At 53.6% G+C, this 23,885-nt stretch overlaps 1 protein-coding gene across 7 annotated transcripts, besides 1 other annotated feature; it reads left to right on the top strand.

Annotated features, from left to right (window-relative positions):
* On the top strand, positions 151–23,694 carry ZNF335 (zinc finger protein 335). Of its 7 annotated transcripts, NM_022095.4 has the most exons (28): positions 151–232; positions 894–1,144; positions 2,663–2,903; positions 3,992–4,069; positions 4,327–4,620; positions 4,720–4,860; positions 6,580–6,726; positions 8,364–8,616; positions 8,704–8,881; positions 10,172–10,284; positions 11,472–11,490; positions 11,622–11,738; positions 11,829–11,905; positions 11,986–12,146; positions 12,921–13,153; positions 14,426–14,519; positions 14,674–14,768; positions 18,406–18,665; positions 19,645–19,756; positions 19,833–20,207; positions 21,759–21,901; positions 21,981–22,135; positions 22,285–22,388; positions 22,477–22,554; positions 22,786–22,869; positions 22,956–23,021; positions 23,103–23,184; positions 23,274–23,694. In NM_022095.4, exons 2-28 carry the CDS (start codon positions 944–946, stop codon positions 23,399–23,401), a joined length of 4,029 nt encoding a protein of 1,342 aa, NP_071378.1. In that variant the 5' UTR covers positions 151–232; positions 894–943; the 3' UTR covers positions 23,402–23,694. The 7 variants fall into 7 exon arrangements, 6 of the variants coding, with proteins under 6 accessions (NP_071378.1, XP_005260561.1, XP_047296319.1 ...); XM_005260504.5 differs by lacking the exon at positions 151–232 and having other exon boundaries at positions 463–1,144; positions 4,723–4,860; XM_047440363.1 differs by lacking the exon at positions 151–232 and having other exon boundaries at positions 463–1,144.
* Positions 520–639: a silencer, noted in NCBI's record as "silent region_12968". NCBI's record gives its function as "represses an Ori minimal core promoter by ATAC-STARR-seq in GM12878 lymphoblastoid cells {active_cell/tissue: GM12878}" and the evidence as "EXISTENCE:reporter gene assay evidence [ECO:0000049][PMID:35858748]".

The raw sequence follows: 23,885 nt of genomic DNA, 5'->3' as shown, positions 1-23,885 counted from the left end.
CAGTGCCAAACACCGGGCGACGTATAAAGTCCCAGAGTCTGTTGAGACCCGATTATGGTTTTGAGGCCTCGGAGCGACCTTCCGGAACACTGAAAATGTGTCTTTCCCGGGGCCAGCGGGGGAAGTAGTTCCGGCCTACAATAGGCCGATGGGTTCCTCCGCAGCGGAGGAAAGAGGATGGCGACCTCGTCGATGCCGGAGTCAGAGAGGAACGTGGCTACGAAAGCCTCGGGTGAGCTTCGGGTAGAGTTAGGCGGCCCCACCGTACCCTGCCGTGGAGTGAGGTCACACTGCGGGGATACCCGGAGGCGAGGTCCCAGGCCGGCGGGGCTGTCCGAACAGGGCCCCGGGGTCCCAGGCCCTTTAGTCGCTCTCGCACTTGCCTGAGCGGAAACCCGGCGCCACCACAAGATGGCGTCGGGCCTGGAGCACAGGCAGCGCCGGGGACAGCCCCAAATCGCCAGGCCCCGAGACCGTCGCTGTCAGCCGCCTCCGCAGGGGAACCGGGGGGGAGCGAACCACTGACCCAGGGGGCCAGCGGGCTGTACCACCGGCCCTGCAACCCGGGGGGACGCGGGGGCCGAAGGGCTGAACCACTGGGCCCGGATGGGGCTCACAGAGCGGAACGCTCCACGAGAATCGTGGGGGCGAGGGAAAGGGTCAAGATTACCAGCCATTGACCACCCTCCCGGGAAGGGCCTTAGCCTGGGAAGCACAGCTTCTCCGTCAAGTTTTTCCCGAGCTCCCCTCGCAATACACCAGGAAGCTCCGCCCCGTCGGAGACTCAATCTTCGCATCTGCAAAATGGGCGCAGGGGTGCAAATGGGTGGCCGTGGTTGCCGGGGCTGGGGAGATGGCCCACTTGTTCCAGCCACGGTCACCTCTCTTCTCAGAGTGAAGTTCCCAGACCCTACGCCCCGCTGTCAGGCAGCCCGCCGATCAGATGGAGGAGAACGAGGTGGAGAGCAGCAGCGACGCGGCCCCTGGGCCTGGCCGGCCCGAGGAGCCCTCTGAGAGCGGCCTGGGTGTGGGCACCTCAGAAGCCGTGTCCGCCGACAGCAGCGACGCCGCGGCCGCCCCGGGGCAGGCAGAGGCCGATGACTCTGGCGTGGGGCAAAGCTCGGACCGCGGCAGCCGTTCTCAGGTATGGACCCGGCTGGACGGCGTGGGTGGAGGCAAGGACCGCGAGCAGCAGTGCCTGACAGCCAAGAGGAAACAAGGCTTGTTTGTAGCTAATACTTGGTGTTTCTGGTTTACTGTGAGCCAGGCACCAAGCCAAACCCCTAAAATGGATTTTCTCATTTGAGCTTCATACCTTCTAAGACACATACCATTTTTTCCCACATCTTATAGAAAAGGATGCCGAGGTACAGAGTGCAGACAGAGCCAGGATTCAAATCTAGGCTGTGGTCTTAGCTACTATACTACCCACAGTCCTCACACTTTGAGAGGCAGATGTCTAGGCCAGGAGTGGTAGCTCATCGCCTGTAATCCCAGCACTTTGGAAGGCTGAGGTGGGAGGATCACTTGAGCCCAGGAGTTGGAGACCAGCTTGGGCAAATAGCGAGACCTCATCTCTACAAAAAAAAAAAAAAAAACGCAAGTGCCCTGGGTTAAGACTGGGTCCTGCCTCCAGTTTACTGGGAGACCTCTTTGAGCCTCAGTATCCCGGCTAAAGTAAAGCAGAAATACTTGCTTTCAAGGGTGCTTGATTGTGAGCTCCCACCAGACATCCTCTTGCAAACATTTTGTAAACCATCTCCTCCTGGCTGTGCCACTTCCTAGCCGTGTGATCTTGAGCAAGCTACCCAACATCTAGCTCTGTTTCCTCGTCTGTAAAGTGGGAATGGTAAATATACCTGCCTCATAGAGTTTTTGTGAGGATGAAATGAATTAACATATGCAAAGCTAATAATTAAAACAGTGCTCAGCACATTGTAAGCACTCAGTAAGTATTAGCCATTCTTATATGCAAGATAATGGTCATATTCAGTATATCACGTGATAGAAGTACACAGCAGTGGTCATCACTTTGGGGTCCTGGGGTTTCATTAGTTCAGCAGAGATGGGGGCCTACCATGTGCTCAGCGTGTGCTGGGCCCTGGAAATACAGCAGAGGAAAAGACAAGTTTGGTCCAGGCCCTTGTGGAGGGCACAGTCTGGCATGGAGGCTGTTAAAAGGCACAATGAACCCCACAGTGGTGTGGTGCTGGGGACACAGGCAGCTGCAGCACTGAGGATGAAGAAGTCCTGACTTGGCCTCAAAGCCAGCATTGACTTCCTAGAAGAGGTACCAGCTAAATGGTGGTGAGAAGGCTGGGTAAGATTTAGCCATAGGGTGATGCTGGGAAGAGTTTCAGGCAGAGGGAACGATTTATGCAAAAGCCCAAAGAAAATAGCTCCCCCTGGCTGTGGCTTAGGAGTCCCTTCTCTTATTTTTGTGTATTCCCTGATGAGATCCAGGGACCCTGTGACTTTTTCCTGGGGGACTCTGTGACTGGAGGGCCTCTCTCACTGGTCCTCCGTGGGGCTGAGGGCATGAGTGGCTCCACTGACCATGTCCTTGGGCCTGAGAGCTCTGTCTAGCAAGTGGGAGCTGGCAGGCTGCCCTGCCCCATACCCAGCTGCTAAACTTTTTCCCTCCCTGTTTCATGCCCCTCAGGAGGAGGTATCTGAGAGCAGCTCGAGCGCAGACCCCCTGCCTAATAGCTACCTCCCTGATTCATCGTCTGTGTCTCATGGGCCAGTGGCAGGGGTGACAGGCGGTCCCCCAGCACTTGTGCACTCTAGTGCACTCCCAGACCCCAACATGCTGGTGTCCGACTGCACAGCTTCCTCCTCGGACCTGGGCTCGGCCATCGACAAGATCATCGAGTCCACCATCGGGCCCGACCTCATCCAGAGTGAGTCAGGCAGAGGAGCCCCACAGGGGTTTTCCTGCAGTGTCCGGCAGCCAGCTGTGCCCACCCTAGCTGTGTGAACTCAGGCAGATTACTTTCCCATGTGGAATGTGCAGAGTGGGAACAGTCACCCCTGTCTCATGGTGGTAAATGAGGATTTAATGAGACAACACTGTAAAGTTCTCAGCCTAGCGCCTGGCATGACAGACTCTCAATAAATAATATAAACTGTTATTGCTTACCTTGTGCCCAGGACTGTTCTAAACTTTACATACAGTAGCTCATTTAATCCTCCCAATAACCCCAAAAGGTAGAGGATGTTAATGTTCACAGTCCAGATGAAAAATATGAGGCACCAAGGACATACATAACTTACCCACTGTCACCAGCAAGCAGTGTGGGGTGTCGGGCCATGAGCTCAGACAGTCTGACTCCAGAGCTGTGTCACCCAGGCTGGAGTGCAGTGGTGCAATCATAGTGCACTGTAACCTCAGACTCTTGGGCTCAAGGGATTCTCTGCCTCAGCCTCCAGGGTAGCTGGGATTACAGGTGCACACCACCTTTTTGCTGGGTTGACCAGGCTATTCTTGAACTCATGAGTTCAAGCAGTTCTCCTGCCTCATCCTCCCAAAGTATTGGGATTACAGGCATGAGCCGTGACACATGGTGCTGTACCCACTTTTTGTTAATGATATTTATAGAGGCTATAGCACCTCAAAAAGCCCTGGGATAGTCTGGGAAGCCAACCCTAAGAAAGTGGTGCAGGAGCTGGTCCTTTACTTTGAGAAGTTTGGAGAGGAAGGAGGACTTCCCAGGTTTGGTGGTCAAAGCCTGGGCAGCTGGTGTAGCTGTGGCATCTTGTGTAAGTGTGGGCCGGCTGCTGAGTCAGCATGTCACACTAGACCTCCAGACAGCCCTGCCAGGGGAGTCAACTGAGGCTCAGGGGTGACACAGCTGGTTTGCAGTCGCACATGGGAGCCAGAATGAGTGTGGACCAGCCCTGCTCACAGGCCAAAGTGGGGCCCATGGGGGTGGGCCTGTTGCTGGGACCCCCTCCCCAGGAGGTGTGACCCTTCCCCATCTCTGCCCAGACTGCATCACTGTGACCAGTGCTGAGGATGGCGGGGCCGAGACCACACGGTACCTGATCCTACAGGGCCCAGATGATGGTAAGACCCCAGGTGCCAGAATCGGGGAGGCCTGCAGTGGGCAGGGGGATAGGTGAGGACAGGTTCTGCCGCGGATTCCGTCTGTGGCCCTGGCTGGGTATCCACTGCTCTGGGTCTCAGTTTTCCTACTGACGGGTTGGCCTCTGGTGGGGAATTTGGTTCTGCACTCCCTGGGCCTGCCTGGGAGGGGTAGCTATAGCTCATGGCCAGTGCTGCCCTCCATTTAACCACCCTCCAATTGCCTCACCCATCCCCAGGAGCCCCCATGACATCACCAATGTCCAGTTCCACCTTGGCCCACAGCCTAGCAGCCATTGAGGCCCTGGCAGATGGCCCCACATCCACATCCACATGCCTGGAGGCACAGGGTGGGCCCAGCTCCCCGGTGCAGCTGCCCCCAGCCTCCGGTGCCGAAGAGCCGGACCTGCAGAGCCTGGAGGCCATGATGGAGGTGGTGGTGGTGCAGCAGTTCAAATGCAAGATGTGCCAGTACCGGAGCAGCACCAAGGCCACACTGCTGCGCCACATGCGGGAACGCCACTTCCGTCCAGGTGCGTCAGTAGCAGCCTACCTGCTTGGACTGCATGGGTAGGGGTGGGGTGCTGGGAGCCAGACATGGCAAGCTTGTCTTACCCTCCCTCCACTTCCAGTAGCAGCAGCCGCAGCAGCAGCTGGTAAAAAAGGACGTCTACGGAAGTGGAGCACCTCCACCAAGAGCCAAGAGGAAGAGGGACCAGAGGAGGAGGACGATGATGACATTGTAGACGCTGGAGCCATTGATGACCTGGAGGGTAGGCCACCATGGTTTCTAGGCCTGCCATCCCTATGCCCATCTAGACATACTCACTGAGCTTTCACTTGGAGGGCCAGTAAAGAGGAATTGGCACAGACACATCCACAGGTCCCTCCAGTATAAGACAGAGGAGGTTGTGCTCTGGGACCAGGACTTCTGTGTGCAGTTGTGCAGGGTGCACACTGGAAAAGAGCACAGGGGGCCCTGTTCACATTTGCCCCACAGAAATAGAATACAAGTAAAGGTGCGAGAGGAGGTCCTCGCCCTGTTGCTCAGACTGGAGTGTAGCATCATGATCGTTGCTCACTGTTACCTTGAATTCCTGAGTTCAAGCCATCTTCCCATCTCAGCCTCCCGAGTAGCTAGGGCTACAGGTGCCTGCCAGCATGCCTGGCTAATTTTTTAATTTTTGTAGAAACGGGTTCTCCCAGCCTGGACAACATGGCAAAACCCCATCTCTATGAAAAATACAAAAATTAGCCTGTTGTGGTATGTGTCTGTAATCTCAACTACTTGGGAGGATCACTTGAGCCCAGAAGGTCAAGGCTGCAGTGAACTGTAATTGTGCCACTGCACTCCAGCCTGGGCAACAGAGCGAGACCCTGTCTCAAAAAAAAGAAAAAAAAAAAAAAAGAGAAATGCCGGGCATGGTGGCTCACTCCTGTAATCCCAGCACTTTGGGAGGCTGAGGCGGGCAGATTACTTGAGGTCAGGAGGTTGAGACCAGCCTAGCCAACATGGTGAAACCCCGTCTCTACTAAAAATACAAAAAATTAGCTGGGTGTGGTGGCGGGCACCTGCAATCCCAGCTACTTGGGAAGCCGAGGCAGGAGAATTCGCTTGAACCCGGGAGGTAGAGGTTGCAGTGAGTTGAGATCATGCCACTGTACTCCAGCCTGGGCGACAGAGCAAGACTCTGTCTCAGAAAAAAAAAAAAAAAGAAAGAAAAAGAAACAGAGTCTTGCTGAGTTGCCCAGGCTGGTCTCAAACTCCTGTCCTCAAACAATCCTCCCACCTCAGCCTTCCAAAGCACTGGGATTACAGGTGTGAGCGGCTGTGCCTGGCCCTAAAATATTTCAGTATGCAGTCATCATAACAATTACTGGTGAGTTTTGGCCGGGCACAGTGGCTCACGCCTGTAATCTCAGCACTTTGGGAGGCTGAGGCAGATGGATCACAAGGTCAGGAGATCGAGACCATCCTGGCTAACACGGTGAAATCCTGTCTCTACTAAAATACCAAAAAAAAAAAAAATTATTGGTGAGTTTTTTAATACCAATTTTTTGAAATTCATTATTTTACACTTAATTATATCTCAGTTTGGACTAGGCATATTTCAAGGGCTCAATAGCTACATATGGCTGGTGGCAGCTGTTTTGGATAGGGCAGCCGTAGAGTTTGTGGACTTCAATGTTTATTTAAACTTTTTTCTAACTGGCTGTACAGTGTCTGGAGGAAGGGTTGCCTTTTCCCTATTCACATGAAGGTGCTTTATGAGCTAGTGGTAGGTGCCAGGAAGGGTAGAGAAAGAACTTCAGGGGCTCAGGGCAGGAACGCCAAGTCAGCCAGAGGAGATCAGGAGGGCTTTCTGGAGGAGGCATCGCTGTGGGCTTGGAGGAGGAGTATGCAGGGGTAGGGAAGTGAGCTGGGCAAGGGGTCAGGGCTGAAAGGGCAGGTCCCGCCACTCACTGTTCACCAACTTTACTGTCCCCCACAGAGGATAGCGACTATAATCCAGCTGAGGATGAGCCCCGAGGCCGGCAGCTTCGGCTCCAGCGCCCCACCCCCAGTACCCCAAGGCCCCGAAGGAGACCTGGCCGGCCCCGGAAGCTGCCCCGCCTGGAGATCTCAGACCTCCCAGATGGTGAGGCTTGGTCTTGGGAGGGGCTCGTGTGGGTGGGTCAGGAGTGGCCTCTCTCCCTGCTTGTCTCTGTGGAGTTCTGGGGACTGAGTGTGCCCTGCAGGGCAGCTGTCTCAAACCGGGTCACCTGCAGGCCTCCAGGGAAAGGGGAAAGCCCTCAAAGACTCAAGCTCAAGAAACCCTGACTCAGGAAACTCTCTCAGCTTTATGGAAATGCCTTTCACCACAATTTGTCATAGCAAAAGAGAAATTTGGGACTTTATCACTGAATGCGTAAGATAAGTTTTAAATATTACTGAAATGAGAAGAGAGGAATAAGTCTGAGGCCTGGGACTATCAGAGGAGCCCTGGTTCGGAGCATTACTGGCTGGGGACAGAAAGGACCCAGCCGTGGTGTGAGCACCAGCTCTGCCGCCTGCAGTCTGTGTGACTTGGAGCTTAAATCTCCAGTCCCTTTATTTATGCATGGAGGTTATAGCAGCATGCCTTTTAGGATTGCTTAAGGGTTAAATACACACAAAAGAGTACAGTGGCAGCTGTTTATGGTTGGAGAGTTGTTGTATTATTATTATTATTATTATTATTATTATTATTATTATTTTGAGACAGAGTTTCACTCTTGCCCGGGCTGGAGTGCAGCGTCATGATCTCGGCTCACTGCAACCCCTGTCTCCCAGGTTCGAGCAATTCTCGTGCCTCAGCCTTCTGAGTAACTGGGATCACAGGCGCCCACCACCACACCGACTTAATTTTTTTAGTAGAGACAGGGTTTCACCATATTGGCCAGGCTGGTCTCAAACTCCTGACCTCAGGTGATCTGCCCACCTCAGCCTCCCAAAGTGCTGGGATTACAGGCGTGAGCCACCGCACTTGGCCTATTGTATTCTTTAGTCTCTATTTCAAAAAGGCCTTTTTACCGAGGCACATATGTATGGAAAGTTACACATATTCTGCCCAGGTCAATGAGTTTTCACAAGGTGCACACACCTGTGTAACCAAGCACCTGTATAACCCAGTCAAGAAGCAGAACATTACCTGCATTGTCTGTATTGTTAATTTGTCTAGTACATATTTAATATTTAAATACTGTCAATGTTTTTGAAGAGGTAACAGATTTAGATTGTCCAAATGGTTTGCAAGCATGGAAGTCACATCTCCCTCCTTCCCTCCCATCAGCCCTCCAGCTGCCTGACCTCCCTGGGGAATGCCAGTGTTAAAGCACTCCTATTGCTTCCCGAGCCTTAGATTGTTCTGTGAAGTCACCAAAGCCGCCATTCTGGCCTCCCTTGGATAAATGGGGCAAATGAGACTCCGGGAGAGGAATGGCTTTGTCTGTAGGTGCACAGCATGTCAGTGACAGAGCCGTGCCTGGAACCCAGGTCTCCTGACTGGGAGGTCCCAGCTCTCGCCGTTGCTCTAATCCAGGCCAGGTCCTACTGTGCTGACAGAATGTCGGCTGTTGGGCGGTAGTATCCATGCTGCCCTCTAACCACAGGCTGTCTGTGTCATGTGACTCAATGCACCCATCAGTGGTCTGTGATGAGTGGGTGGGAGGATATTTTGGCTGGCCTCTGGCCCACTTGTCCACGTCTGTCCTGGTGTGTCAGTGGCTGGCTTGTGACCTGGCATGTCCGTGGCAGGTGTGGAAGGAGAGCCTCTAGTGAGTTCCCAGAGTGGACAGAGCCCTCCAGAGCCACAGGATCCCGAGGCTCCCAGCTCCTCAGGCCCAGGACACCTGGTGGCCATGGGCAAGGTGAGCAGGACCCCTGTGGAAGCTGGTGTGAGCCAGTCAGATGCAGAGAACGCAGCCCCCTCCTGCCCGGATGAGCATGACACTCTGCCCCGGCGCCGAGGTCGACCTTCCAGGCGCTTCCTAGGCAAGAAATACCGCAAGTATGTGGAGCAGAGGTGAGGGTGGGGCATGCATGTGGTTAAGCCACCAACCCCACCAGACCTTTCCGCCACACTCTCATCCTGCAGGTACTATTACAAGTCGCCCAAACCACTTTTGAGGCCCTTCCTGTGCCGCATCTGTGGTTCTCGCTTTCTGTCCCACGAGGACCTGCGCTTCCACGTCAACTCCCATGAGGCTGGCGATCCCCAGCTCTTCAAGTGCCTGCAGTGCAGCTATCGTTCCCGCCGCTGGTCCTCGCTCAAGGTGCGGGAGCCAAAGAGGCTTGGGGCTCATGGGAGGGTGAAGAAGGCAAGCAGAGGCCAGCTGGTGCCACTGAGGGAGAATGGAGTCACAGAGCATTCTGGGTCACGCTCTCCTGCTGCTCTTCAGAACGCGTGTCTGGCTCACTGGCGTACCGAAGAACGCTCAGCTCCTCAGAGCTTGCGGGAATGTGGGGAGGGGCTGGGAAGGGCTGCCACAGGCGGTTTTGCAGGCGGCACAGTGCACAGTGGCAGCATATCTTCACCACCACAGACGCCATAAAACTGTTTTCATCTGATTCCATGTGTTAGAAAGATTTCCAGCAGATGGCAGTCATGTGTCTCAAGAAAAGGGTTCCTTTTAGGCCAGGTGCAGTGGCTTGCTCCTGTAATCCCAGCACTTTGCGAGGCTGAGGCAGGTGGATCACCTGAGGTCAGGAGTTTGAGACCAGCTTGGCCAACATGGAGAAACCCCATCTCTACTAAAAATACAAAATTAGCTGGGCATGGTGGTGCATGCCTGTAATCCCAACTACTTGGGATGCTGAGGCAGGAGAATCGCTTGAACCCGGGAGGCAGAGGTTGCAGTGAGCCAAGATCACACCATTGCACTCCAGCCTGGGCAACAAGAGCGAAACTCTGTCTCAAAAAAACAAACAAACAAAAAAAAAAAAACGGTTCCTTTTTCTCCTTAACACAAGCTACCATGTGGCCTGCAGCAGCCCTGAGCCTTTTATGCAGTAACTGGATAATTAAATCCTTATTGCAGCCCAATGAGGTCGTAGGTGTCCATAGTCCCATTCTACTGACCCCCAGGAAACTGTGGCTCGGCCTGGCCAATGTGCAAGTTGGCAGCTGTGGGAGAGGGTACTTCCGGGCACGGTGGTCAGAGCGAGCCCCTGTGCTCTGTGCACGCTGTGCTGTGGGCTGTTATGTGGGTTCTGCAGAGAAGATGTCTCGTGACGCAGTGGGAGAGGTGGAGGCTGCGGCGCCATGCTGCCTGGCTTCAGCTCCAAGCTCTGCCATCGCAAGGTCCCTCCACCCTGAGACTCAGGTTCCTTCTTTGTCAAGTTGTGAGCCAGCACAGAGCCTGGCACAGAGTGGGTGCTCTCGCTGGGGACAGTCCCCGGGCCTTCCTAGGTTTTGACCCTTGCGTCGGGGTGTGTTGTCCACATGCCTGTGTTCTGTGAGCTGCTCCCGCAGCAACCCTAAGACTGTGGCCACAGGCATGGTGGGGACGGGGATGGGAGAGGAGGCCAAGCCCCAGCCCACCATCCTTTTGTCTGTCTCCCAGGAGCACATGTTCAACCACGTGGGCAGCAAGCCCTACAAGTGTGACGAGTGCAGCTACACCAGTGTCTACCGGAAGGACGTCATTCGGCACGCCGCTGTGCACAGCCGGGACCGGTCAGTGTGGGGGTGGGAGGGACCTGGGCAAGAGAGGCCAGGTTGGGTGGGGAAGTGGAGGCCCGGGATAACCATGGTTCCCACTTACCGTGCTCCTGCTCTGAGCCAGCCCCATTTGCTGCACACTACAGGCATGAGCAGAAAGGCAGTTCACCCCAGTTCATTTGGCTTAGAACAGGACAGTACCAGGCCTTGAGGTCCCCAGCTCAGCCTCTTACCTCTTGTGAGCTTTAGTTTCTCATCAAACGGGGACAGTTGTTGAAGGGATTGAAGGAAATTGTGTACCTAAAGGAGTTCAGTAAATGATCCAAGATCTTCTGGACTCCAGATCCTACTCATCTCTCACAGGGCTGAGAGTGCACCTGAGACAGAGAAACACAAGTTCTTATGCACCTAATGATTGCTCACAGGATTATAATTCGATCCCGAGCTTCAGGAAGGAGTTCGCTTCATGAGAGGTGGTGTGTGAGCAGAGGTTGGAGACAGATCCCCTGGGACAGTAGCTCCAGCTGTGTGTGTGGAAAAGCCAGCCCAAGATACTTTAAGGTTTCTTTTTTTTAAATGAAAAAAAAAAAAAAAAAAGGTTCTGTGGCTAAGTAAGATTAGTGTAGGTTCACCAGCTTGCAGAGCTGTTCAACACCTCTTTCCTGCAGGATTTCTTAGAGCTTTTATTGACTGATTGACAGGGTCTCACTCTGTCACCCAGTCTGGAATAGAGTGGCACAATTACAGCTCACTGCAGCCTCAACCTCCCAGGCTTAAGCGATCTTTCTGCTTCAGCCTTCCGAGTAGCTGGGACTACAGGTGCTAACCAGCACACCCGGCTAACTTTTTATTATTTACTAATTTTTTTTTGTAGAGACGATGTCTTGTTATGTTGCCCAGGCTGGTCTCAAACTCCGGGCCTTAACTGATCCTTAGAGCTTTTAATATGCAAGTAACATTTTGTGATTGACAGACAGAAAGAATGTACCATTTCACAAATATATTTGAGTGCAGAATATGTTATTTACAGCGTGCCCCTTAGCGTTTTCCCCAGTGAACTCCAGCTGGGGAAGCACTATTCTAAGAGAAAGGGGCCTTGGCAGGGAGTAGGCTCATAGCTGAGGCTGGGTCTGTTCAGTGTGAGAGGGTCTAGAGTGGGCTTGGGGAAGCTCTGGTCTAATTCCTCGGCCTTTTCCCCACAGGAAGAAGAGGCCAGATCCGGTGAGTCTGGCGTGCTGGCCTGGGAAGGGAACCTGCCCGGGGGTTGTTTATGGGGGTGAGGACAAGAGGGGAGGTTTTATCCTCCCTCCTCCACTTCTTTCTCCATCTGGCCCCTTCTTATGCCTTCCTAGACTCCAAAGCTGAGCTCTTTCCCCTGCCCTGTGTGTGGCCGTGTGTACCCCATGCAGAAAAGACTCACGCAGCACATGAAGACGCACAGCACTGAGAAGCCCCACATGTGTGACAAGGTGGGTGGGAGCCAGGGCTGGGGCTGAGAGGAGGGCCTCCCCTGGGTGATGGAGGGTGATCGCCATCTCACTGCTCTCCACCCCTCACAGTGTGGAAAGTCCTTTAAGAAGCGCTACACCTTCAAAATGCACCTGCTCACGCACATCCAGGCTGTTGCCAACCGCAGGTACATCCCCTTGGAGGCCCCTGGGGACGGGAGCAGTCCCCAGCTCATTACTGAGCTTCCCTCCCTCTAACCGCCTCCAGGTTCAAGTGTGAGTTCTGTGAGTTTGTTTGTGAAGACAAGAAGGCACTGCTGAACCACCAGTTGTCCCACGTCAGTGACAAGCCCTTCAAATGCAGCTTTTGTCCCTACCGCACCTTCCGAGAGGACTTCTTGCTGTCCCATGTGGCTGTCAAGCACACAGGTCAGGCTGGACACACCCCAGCCCCACTCACCAGCCCTCAGTGCCCTGTACCCCTGATCAGAGGCTTAGCTCCCATCCTCTTCCTTCCCCCTCGGTAGCCCCAGCCACAGAACAGCCCAAGTCCTTCAAGTGTAAAGAGAATTTCCCATAGGCGTATTCACCCTAACCTGAGCCTGGGTTCCTGCTTGGCTGGTTGTTCTCTGGATGGCTCTGGGCCGGTCGCTTGCCCTCTCCGAGCCTTCCATATTTATGAAATGGGGGAATCAGAGTGCCTGCCATATGGCTATGATGAAAGTAAGTTCCATTTGTTCCTTGAGCCTTGTGTGTGCTGGCACTGGGGCTGGAGAGGAGGCTCTTCCAGACCCTGCCTTGGCAGATGAAGCTGCAGAAGCAACGCCATTGGCTTGGCCCACAGAAGCTGCACTGCAAACATTGTTTCTTTGGTGCCTAGCTCCCTGGTCAGCACACTAGGGGCGATTACAGAAAAGGAGCCAGGGGTTCCCTTAGCCAGAGTCCTGTGATGACCCACAGGAGCTTGTAGTCACATGACTTTGCAAATAGGTAGGCACAGGAAGGCTCTTGAGTGCAGAGGGCGGCCCTGATTCATTTCTGTCCTGGGCCACCAGAATGGACAGTGGCATGTGTTTGCCTACATACGGGAATGAATCGCTGGAAGTCAGTCAGTTGGAGAGATCCTTAGGGTCAAGAAAGGATTCCTGGAGGGGGTAGGCTAGGGACGGGCAGACTTAAGCATGCCCCAACATGTGCCTCCAGGGGCCAAGCCCTTCGCCTGTGAGTACTGCCACTTCAGCACACGGCACAAGAAGAACCTGCGCCTGCACGTACGGTGCCGACACGCAAGCAGCTTCGAGGAATGGGGGAGGCGCCACCCTGAGGAGCCCCCCTCCCGCCGTCGCCCCTTCTTCTCTCTGCAGCAGATTGAGGAGCTGAAGCAGCAGCACAGTGCGGCCCCTGGACCACCTCCCAGTTCCCCAGGACCTCCTGAGGTAAGGTCGGGGCATGGGTCAGGATGACAGAGTGAGGCCGCTTCTCCCAGCCCCAGCATCATTTGCACATTGAGATGCAACAAAATAATCCCTGCCTCTTGAGACTGTGGTAAAAACTCACTGAGTCACACATATGCCAGCCCTAAGCTTAGAGTAAGGGTGGCTTTCTAGTGCTGGTAATAGAGAATGGAAACACCAGTAACTTAACTGTGATCATAGTTTTTATTCTCTCTTATACAAGAATTCCACAGGTCGGCAGTCTAGGGCTGGTGCGGTGATTATACAGTCGTAAGGGAATAAGTTCTCAGTATCTTTGCCCAGTCATCCCAGGCATATGACTTTCATCTTTGTAGTTGCCTCATGGTCCAGTATAGCTGCAGGAGCACCAGCCTTCCCAGCCACATCCCAGGCAGGAAGCAGGAGGAAGGGATGGGGGAGAGGCAAAAAGGATACCTACCATCTATCCATCATTCCTCATGAACTTCACCTGAAGATCGTTGCTTAGTCATGTGGCCACACTTTACCTAGCTGCAAGGGAGGCTGAGAAATGTCTTGGAGCTGGGTACATTGCCACCCTGGTGAAAATCAGAGTTCTGTTAGCAAGAGGGAAGAGGAGGATGGCCTCAGGATAGGTAGCTAGCAGTCTCTGCCACGTGAGCTGACACACTATCCCTGGAAAGATGGACCACATGACTTGCTGGTAGATCACAGGCCCTGGAATCACACAGTCATGGGTTCAAGCCCTCACCCTACTATGTATTAGGAGTGGGATTCTTGGCCAGCCACTTCACCTCTCTGAGCCTTAGTGGGTTCATCTGTAGCACTGAGCTCGTATATTTTGAAAACTGGTTATGGGCTGGGCATGGTGGCCCATGCCTGTAATCCCAGCACTTTGGGAGGCCGAGGTGGGTGGATCACTTGAAGTCAGGAGTTTGAAACCAGCCGACCAACATGGAGAAACCCCATCTCTACTAAAAATATAAAAATTAGCTGGGTGTGGTGGCGGCCACTTGTAATCCCAGCTATTCAGGAGGCTGAGACACAAGAATCACTTGAACCCAGGGGCAGAGGTTGTAGTGAGCCTAGATTGAGCCATTGTACTCCAGCCTGCATGACAGAGAGACTCCATCTCAAAAAAAAAAAAAGAAAAGTGGTTATGAAGATGAAACAAGCCAACAGATGTAAAACATCTGGCAGATCAGAGGTGCTTGGCAAATGGCACTTGAATCTGGGCTGGCCCCTCTCAGGCGTGGCCATATCTCCACCCCATAGATACCCCCAGAGGCGACAACTTTCCAGTCATCTGAGGCTCCCTCATTGCTCTGTTCTGACACCCTGGGCGGCGCCACCATCATCTACCAGCAAGGTGAGCTCTGTAGGAGGATAGGAGCTCATGGAGGGTAGGACCTCTGAGTTGGGCAGGGGCAGGTCGTGCTGGTGGGGGCTGGAAGATGGGGAGGGGGTGGTATTGGGTGCCAGTTTTCTAGCACTTTGTCAGGCTTAGGTCCCACCCCACCCAGGAGCTGAGGAGTCGACAGCGATGGCCACGCAGACAGCCTTGGATCTTCTGCTGAACATGAGTGCTCAGCGGGAACTGGGGGGCACAGCCCTGCAGGTGAGCTGCCTGGGAACCTGCTCCCCTTCCCAGCTACCGCAGGTACCCAGCCCTGCACTGGACACTGGGACTAGAGGAAAACAGTGTATCAGAGCTTCTCCGCCCTTGGGAGCTCCCAGGCAGTGGAGGAGACAGATCTGCTGAAGTCTGGTGGGCAAACAGAGAGGAACAGGCTTTGCCACGGAGGCCGCAGGGTATCCCGTCCATTCTCCAGAATCACTGGTGACCTCTGCCAGGTGGAGCAGTACACACTGCCCCTGCGGCATCTGGGGCCCTGTTCTTGTTTTGTCTTCCTCCCACCTCTGCAACCACCATGTGCCTGTGGGTGCCCCCACAGCTTGAACTAGCTTTTCCATCCACAAGAGCGCCCTCATTCCGGGACACCTCCTACAGCCTGCAGACCCCAGGGCTTCCTCTAGATCAGACCACTCTCTCGCGTTCCAGGGGTCTTGGTTCATGCACCTCCCCAAAGTTCAACACCTTTGCCCCTCCCTGCCCTCCCCGTTCACATCTGGCCTGGTCTCCAAGGCAGAGGGAAGTTTATTAGCCCCTCCTGTTTCCCAGCCTCATGAGAAGATGGAGAGTGTGTTTTTAAGATGATGAATTCCAGAAATCATAATAATTTAGTTCATGGCAGTTAGGGGTGTATAGAAGTTTTACATTTTTAGATAGGAAAATTTATCAGTCTTTTATAGTTTTCCCTTTGGTATCATCCCTAGAAAGACTCCCCCAACTTGTATCCCAAGGTTATAAAACATTCATTTATATTTTTTTCTTAGGGTTTTATTTTTTACACTTAAATCTTACTCCACCTGGAATTTATTTCTGGTGTATGCAGAAAGGTAGGGATCGATTTTTTTTTTTCCAGAAGTCATCCGACGTGGTATCTTCACCTGTGGTTTGAAGTGTCCTCCTCATATACTAGATTCCCAAATATGTAGGAGTCTGTTTCTAGACTTGAGTTCTGTTCTATTGATTTGTCTCCTGTTCCCATGCCAATCTCATGTGGTAGAGTTTTTCTGCTTACAAAAGCACATGCTTGTAAAAGAAACAAAATGGGCCTGGCGTGGTGGCTTATGCCTGTAATCCCAGCACTTTGGGACGCCAAGGTGGCTGGATCACCTGAGGTCAGGAGTTCGAGACCAGCCTGACCAACATGGAGAAACCCCATTGCTACTAAAAATACAAAATTAGCTGGGCGTGGTGGCACACGTCTGTAATCCCAGCCACTCGGGAGGCCGAGGCAGGAGAATCGCTTGAACCCAGGAGGCGGAGGTTACGGTGAGCCGAGATTGCGCCATTGCACTCCAGCCTGGCCAACGAGCAAAACTCCATCTAAAAAAAAAAAAAGAAAAAAAGAAAAAAATGAACATTAGGAAATGTTTCAGTAGAAGGTGAAAGTCCTTGGCATTTCTCCCCTCCCATCAGATACCCAGTAAATGGGTTCAGAAGAATTTCTTCAGGGATTTGTTCATGTTCATACCAACACCTAGACCTTTGTTCCTTAAAAAATGGGATCACATTATTGGCTGCTCCTCAGCGTCATCTTTTACCTAACAGCATGTGATGCACGGCCTGGCCAGCACCTGCAGTTACCCTTATTCTCCTAAGATCTCCATCTTGCATCTCTGTATCATTTGATCACATGGATGTTCTCAGCTATAGTTAGGCAGTCCTTTATTGGCTGGGTTCTTTCGTTTTATATTAATTCAAGCAGTGCTTCACTGTACATATATTTTCAGTGCTCATAAATTTTTTTTTTTTTTGAGATGGAGTCTCATTTTGTCACCCAGGCTGGAGTGCAGTGGCGTGATGTTGGCTCCCTGCAACCTCCGCCTCCTGGGTTCAAATGATTGTCCTACCTCGGCCTCCTGAGTTGCTGGGATTACAGGTGCACGTCACCACACCTGGCTACTTTTTTGTATTTTTAGTAGGGATAGGGTTTCACCATATTGGCCAGGCTAGTTTCGAACTCCTGACCTCAAGTGATCTGCCTGCCTTGGCCTCCCAAAGTGCCAGGATTACAGGTGTGAGCCACCGTACCCAGCCAACATCTTTGTAGTGTTTTTAAAAAGCCTCCTACAAGAAGAATTAGTGGGTCAGAGGGTATGGTGAGAAGCCTTGTAAAAAGATACGCCAGTATACGTGGCCACCAGTAGGGTATATTTCCCTGCATTCATGCCAATACACTGGGTATTATCAGTCTTTATAAATCTTTTTTTTTTTTTTTTTTTTGAGACAGAGTCTTGCTCTGTTGCCCAAGCTGGAGTGCAGTGGTGCGATCTCGGCTCACTGCAACCTCCGCCTCCCGGGTTCACACCATTCTGCCTCAGCCTCCCAAGTAGCTGGGACTACAGACACCCACCACCACGACTGGCTTCTTTTATTTTTTTATTTTTAGTAGAGATGGGGTTTCACCATGTTAAGCAGGATGGTCTCGATTTCCTGACCTCATGATCTGCCCGCCTCGGCCTTCCAGAGTGCTGGAATTACAGGCGTGAGCCACCACGCCCGGCCTCAGTCGTTATAAATCTTTACCAATCTCACACTTGTAATCCCAGCACTTTGGGAGGCCAAGGCAGGAGAATTGCTTGAGTCCAGGAGTTTGAGACCAGCCTGGACAACATGGTGAAACCCTGTCTCTTAAAAAATTAGCCGGGTGTGGCAATGCATGCCTGTAGTACCAGCTACTTGAGAGGCTGAGGTGGGAGGATCGCTTGAGCCCAGGAGGTTGAGGCTGCAGTGAGCTGTAATCGTACCACTGCACTCCAGCCTGAGCAATACCCAGTCTCAAAAAAAAAAAAAAAAAAAAAAAGTAATTGTATGACCGTAAATGAGGTTGAACTCCTCTCTGTATGTTCAGAGACCATTTTATTCCTTTCTAAAGTACCTGTTTGTGTCCTGTATTTGTTTTTCTATTGTTAGCTTTTAGTTATTGCTTTGCAGGAGCTCCATATATGAGGGAAGTCCACTTTTTATGAGTTGTGAAATATCCCCCAACCCCAATTTCTTTGTTTTTTGGCTTCATTTTATGGTTAATTTTGCTCTAGGTTTTATCTTTCTCTGTCATGATTAGAAAAATCTCCCTGTCCCAATTCTAAAATACTTACCTACGTTTTATTTTAATATATTTAGAGTTTTATTACATTTTAATCTTTAAACCATTTGAAGCCAACTGGAATAAGATGTACACTGGAGCTTTTTTCTAAGTGATTTGTCAGTTGTCCCCAGTATTTCTTGTCTGCAGCGCTGTTAGCATGTTGAGGCAGATACTATTGTGTGGTGGGGCGGTCCTGTGCATTATGGGGTGTTCAGCGGCATCCCTGGCCTCTCCCGACTATATGCCAGTACCATCCCCCTCCTGCTGTGATAAGAAATGTCTCCAGACGTTGCCAAATCTTTGTGGGGGGCACAACTGCTCTGCCCTATTCCTGTTGGTCTATTTCCAGTTGCTGAGTGGGATTTGGAAAGCCAGAGTATATTTTAGAAAGAACTTGGGCTATTCAAATGAGTGGTGGCAGCACTGGTCTGACTAGAGTGTGTGGGTGCATCTGGGACACTGAGATGGGGGAGGCGTCTTGCATACCCGCTCCTCTGCCACCAGTGCCTCCCATCCCGCCCCCTGGTGCCGTTGCAGGTGGCTGTGGTGAAGTCGGAAGATGTGGAAGCAGGGTTAGCATCCCCTGGTGGGCAGCCCTCCCCTGAAGGTGCCACTCCACAGGTGGTCACCCTCCACGTGGCAGAGCCAGGGGGCGGTGCAGCAGCCGAGAGCCAGCTAGGCCCTCCTGACCTACCGCAGATCACCCTGGCACCTGGTCCATTTGGTGGGACTGGCTACAGTGTCATCACAGCACCCCCTATGGAGGAGGGAACATCAGCTCCTGGCACACCTTACAGGTGAGACCTGCTGCCTGCAAGGCCCCTTTCAGCTTTTTGTAGGTGTGGTCGGTCGGTCCGATTTGGGCCCCACCCAAGCCTAGTTGGCAGGAGGCAAAAATCCCAATACACATCAAGTGATTAGTGGTGGAGTCTACCCTTCTCAGGAGGTCAAGAGCTACCATTTTTTAGCCACTTAGATATTCCAAGCACTTGGCACTCATGATGGGACCTAAGCCATTCCCATGAGACCCAGATTTCCCTTGTTTTACAAATGAGGAAATGGGCCAGGGAGGTTAAGTGACCAGCCTGAAACCACACATGCAGTAGGTGAGATTTGAACCCTGGTCCCTTTGGTTCCCATGCCCAAGTGCTCTTCTTGGGTGATCCCAGGTGTTCTTCAGTTCTGACACTCCGAGCAAGCTCAGGCCTCTTTACCAGCATTGAGGCCTGGCACCTGTACTTGGCTTCCCTACAGTGAATGAGCTTGGGCAGGCATGTTTATGTTCACCAAACTCTTAGGCCATCTGAGGAAGCCCTGAATCCAAGTGCCAAATTGTTGAGCTGAGCAGGGAGTCAGGATCCCCAGGCCCATGCCCTTGGCCAGCACCTGGGCGGCCAGTCTCAGCATTTGCTGTCTGCTCTTAGGCAGCAGGTCCTCGTTAGCCCTGCCTCCTCCACTAGCTCCTGGTGGTGGATTCACCGTTTGCTACTGGTTGGGTTAGACCCCTCTGCCTCACTGTGTGCCCCCCACCTCGCCATGTTTGCCGAGGACAAGAATTACCAGCTTTTGAGAAGGACCCATGCTTGAGTTGTAATCATTTACAAGAGACATGGTAGAGGGTCATTTGGTAACAGGGCAGAGCCACAGTTGAACCCTGGGCCCTTCTGACTTGAGTCCATCTGTGGTGACAGTCACTCCTCAGTTGATGCCTGTTGCTTGGGGAAGGGGGCTCCTGTGGCCCTCCATCTTCTCCTAGAACCTTCTCCATGCCCACAGCGAGGAGCCCGCAGGAGAGGCAGCCCAGGCTGTGGTTGTGAGTGACACCCTAAAAGAAGCTGGCACCCACTACATCATGGCTACTGATGGTACCCAGTTGCACCACATTGAGGTGAGGCTTGGGGATGCCAACCACTCCCCCACCTCCCTCCCCTTCTCAGTACCTCATGCTCCCTGTCTCTCTACAGCTCACCGCAGATGGCTCCATCTCCTTCCCAAGTCCAGATGCTCTGGCCTCTGGTGCCAAATGGCCCCTGCTGCAGTGTGGGGGACTGCCCAGAGACGGCCCTGAGCCCCCATCTCCAGCCAAGACCCACTGCGTAGGGGACTCCCAGAGCTCTGCCTCCTCACCTCCTGCAACCAGCAAAGCCCTGGGCCTGGCAGTGCCCCCGTCACCGCCATCTGCAGCCACTGCTGCATCAAAGAAGTTTTCCTGCAAGATCTGTGCCGAGGCCTTCCCTGGCCGAGCTGAGATGGAGAGTCACAAGCGGGCCCACGCTGGGCCTGGTGCCTTCAAGTGCCCCGACTGCCCCTTCAGTGCCCGCCAGTGGCCCGAGGTCCGGGTAGGTGCTGGTTGCTCCTGTGTCTCTGCTGTCATTCATTGGGCTACTCGTTTGTATAACAAACCTTTAATGAGTGCCCTTTCAAGCCAGATCCTCTGCTCTCCTCTGAGTGGATGAGATGGGTCAGAGATGACTCCGCAAGGTCCCAGCTCTCAGGGAGTTGGTCTGGTGGGGAGGCAAACCACACACAACGTGACTAATGCCAGACACAGTGTCCCGAGTGTGAACCAAGGGTGCAGGACACAGAGCAGGTCATTTGAACTTGTGTGTGCTGGGGAAAATGCCACAGAAGGGATGGCCAAGCTGGGCCTCTAGGAGCAAAGGCACAGAAGTGTGTGACAGAGGCATGGCTAGGGAGACTCGAACGTCTAGAACAGGGGTGCCCAACCCCTGGGCCATAGACTGGTAGTCATCCATGGCCTGTTAGGAACCAGGCCACACAGCAGGTGAGCGGCAGGTGGGCAAGCACTACTGCCTGAGCTCCACTTCCTGTCACAGCAGCTGCATTAGTCTCAGGAGCACAGCCCCATTGTGAACTGTGCATACGAGTAATCTAGGTCACACACTCCTTCTAAGAATCTAACTAATATCTGATGAACTGAGGTGCAACAACTTCATCCCAAAACTATCACCCTGCACATGCCGTGAAACAGTTATCTCCCATAAAACCAGTCCCTGGTGCCAAAAAGGGTGGGGACCACTGGTCTAGAATACTGAGGGCACAGAGGTTCGAGGTGGTTGGGGAGCCACCATGGAGAAGGTGAGTGGGCCAGTTCTGGGGCAGGTTCACAGCCCAGCTTGGGGCCTCCCTGTTTGCCTGAGGATTTTGTTTTCAGATCCAGTCATGCACTGCATCCTCTCCAGAGGTTGGAGAGGGAAGCAGGGCCTAGAGCCCCACCCTACAGTGCAGAGGTGAACGCCCTATCAGGCCTCAGCCCTAGAAAATCAGGGCCAGGGCCGGGCACGGTGGCTCACACCTCTTATCCCAGCACTTTGGGAGGCCGAGGCAGGCGGATCACCTGAGGTCGGGAGTTTGAGACCAGCCTGACCAACATGGAGAAAACCCATCTCTACTAAAAATACAAAATTAGCCAGGTGTGGTGGCGCATGCCAGTAATCCCTGCAACTTGGGAGGCTGAGGCGGGAGAATCGCTTGAACCCAGGAGGTGGAGGTTGCAGTGAGCCGAGATCACGCCATTGCACTCCAGCCTCTGGGCAACAAGAGCAAAACTGTCTCAAAAAAAAAAAATTCAGGGCCCGATGGGACCTGCACAGGTCCCCTCATCTAACACCTGTGTTACATATGGGTAAAGTGAGATTTTCCAATTTACCTAATAATGATGGAATCTATGGCCTTTCATTCTTAGGACACAGCAGCACCAGATACGGATCCGGCTTGGCCTTTCTACCCAGCTTCTTGTTAGTGCACAGGATTTTGGTTTTCCCAGGTCCACTTTGTCTGGTTCCCTGACCAGCTGTCAGCAGGGATCCGGGGATTTGTTGCCATCTGTCCTGACCCAGCCAATGCCCCCAACTCTGCCCTCTCTGCAGGCGCACATGGCACAGCACTCAAGCCTACGGCCCCACCAGTGTAGCCAGTGCAGCTTTGCCTCCAAGAACAAGAAGGACCTGCGTCGGCACATGCTGACTCACACAAAGGAGAAGCCTTTTGCATGCCACCTCTGCGGGCAGCGGTGAGGCCAGATACTGGTGGGTGGGGACTGCTGGGCATGTATGGTGGAGCTAACCTGAGCCACCTTTCATCCCCCTCAGTTTCAACCGTAACGGGCACCTCAAGTTCCACATCCAGCGGCTGCACAGTCCTGATGGGAGGAAGTCAGGAACCCCTACAGCCCGGGCCCCTACCCAGACCCCAACCCAGACCATCATCCTGAACAGTGATGACGAAACACTGGCCACCCTGCACAGTGAGCTGCCCCTGGGGCCACAGGGTGGGCAACAGGGTAGATCCAGAGACTTGGGCCACTGCCCCAAAAGGCACCACTGGGTACAGTAGCAGCTGGGGCATTGCAGGTTTTCCTGGACCCCAGGTGAGCATCCTCTCCTCTCTGCCCAGCTGCACTCCAGTCCAGTCACGGGGTCCTGGGCCCAGAGCGGCTACAGCAGGCACTGAGCCAGGAACACATCATCGTTGCCCAGGAACAGACAGTGACCAATCAGGTAAGAGTCAGGACTGGGGGCCCTCTGGCCAGCGACAGGCAGGGGTTGGGGTAGAGAAATGAGGCTAGAGCTGTCTTGGTCCTGGCAGGAGGAAGCCGCCTACATCCAAGAGATCACCACGGCAGATGGCCAGACCGTACAGCACCTGGTGACCTCCGACAACCAGGTGAGCTACTAGCTACTGTTAATCCCCTCAGCTGTGACCTCCTACCCTCCCAAAGACCTACCTTGGGGAGGAATGATACTTTCCAAACCACCCCTCCTGGGGTCCATGCTTGCCAACAACTGCATTGTTGCTGGTGGCTGTTCCTAGTCTTCCACTCTGCCTTCTTAGCTAAGCTCCTGGCGAGTGGGGCCTCAGCACCTGCCTCGCCATGCCCGCCCCCCCCACCAACAGGTGCAGTATATCATCTCCCAGGATGGTGTCCAGCACCTGCTCCCCCAGGAATATGTTGTGGTCCCTGAAGGCCATCACATCCAGGTAGGCCAGACCTGGGATGAGGGTGCTGTGTGGTGAAGGGCTGCATGACCTCTCCCTAGGATCACAGCTTGGCTTCCTCTCTGCAGGTACAGGAGGGCCAGATCACACACATCCAGTATGAACAAGGAGCCCCGTTCCTTCAGGAGTCCCAGGTAGGGCCGTGGGGGGACAGGGAGACCTGGGGCACAGGCAGGTTTCTCCAGGCCAGCATCTTATCAGCTTCTCCCCTCCAGATCCAGTATGTGCCTGTGTCCCCAGGCCAGCAGCTTGTCACACAGGCTCAACTTGAGGCTGCAGCACACTCAGCTGTCACAGGTATGGAGCTGGATCCTGAGGAGCATGGGGCTGGGTATGGACCCAGCTCTTGAGCCTCCAGCTCACCATACTTTCCCCTCCCCTGGCAGCAGTGGCTGATGCTGCCATGGCCCAAGCCCAGGGCCTGTTTGGTACAGACGAGACAGTGCCCGAACACATTCAACAGCTGCAGCACCAGGGCATCGAGTACGACGTCATCACCCTGGCCGATGACTGAGCCCCGAGGGCCCAACACAGATCATGGATTTGCGGCCAGCTCTCCTGGGGGTAGGGGGCCACCAGGACTCACCTCCCTCTTCATTTAGGATCTCCAGATACTGGATAGCCAGCATCCTCTCATTCCCAGGGAGCCAGACCTGTGCTGTTGGGGTTAGGGGCAGCCATGGGCCCCAGCCAGGACATGCTGGGTGCCCCAGCCTGCAGGCAGGCTTTGGGAGAGAAATTTATTTTTGTTTGGGTGGACCCACTGGCCTGTCAGTCTCAATAAAGGGACCGGAGTCCAGTCCTGAACAGCTTACTTTGTCTGCTTGCTGCTGTAGCCTGTACCAGGCCAGGTCTTGTGAGGTGGAGGCTGCCTGGCTCCACAGCGTGCCCTGTCCTGCCCTGCCCCTGTTAAGTCCGGTGATCCACCAGCAGGGCAGACCCTTGCTGCAGAGGCCTGGCAATGAGAGAGGTGGCTGGTTCAGAGACGGCTGAACCAG

This window comes from Homo sapiens, chromosome 20 (genome assembly GCF_000001405.40).
Source record: "Homo sapiens chromosome 20, GRCh38.p14 Primary Assembly".
NCBI classification, from domain to species: domain Eukaryota; kingdom Metazoa; phylum Chordata; class Mammalia; order Primates; family Hominidae; genus Homo; species Homo sapiens.
This window is presented reverse-complemented; position numbering and strand designations above follow the sequence as displayed.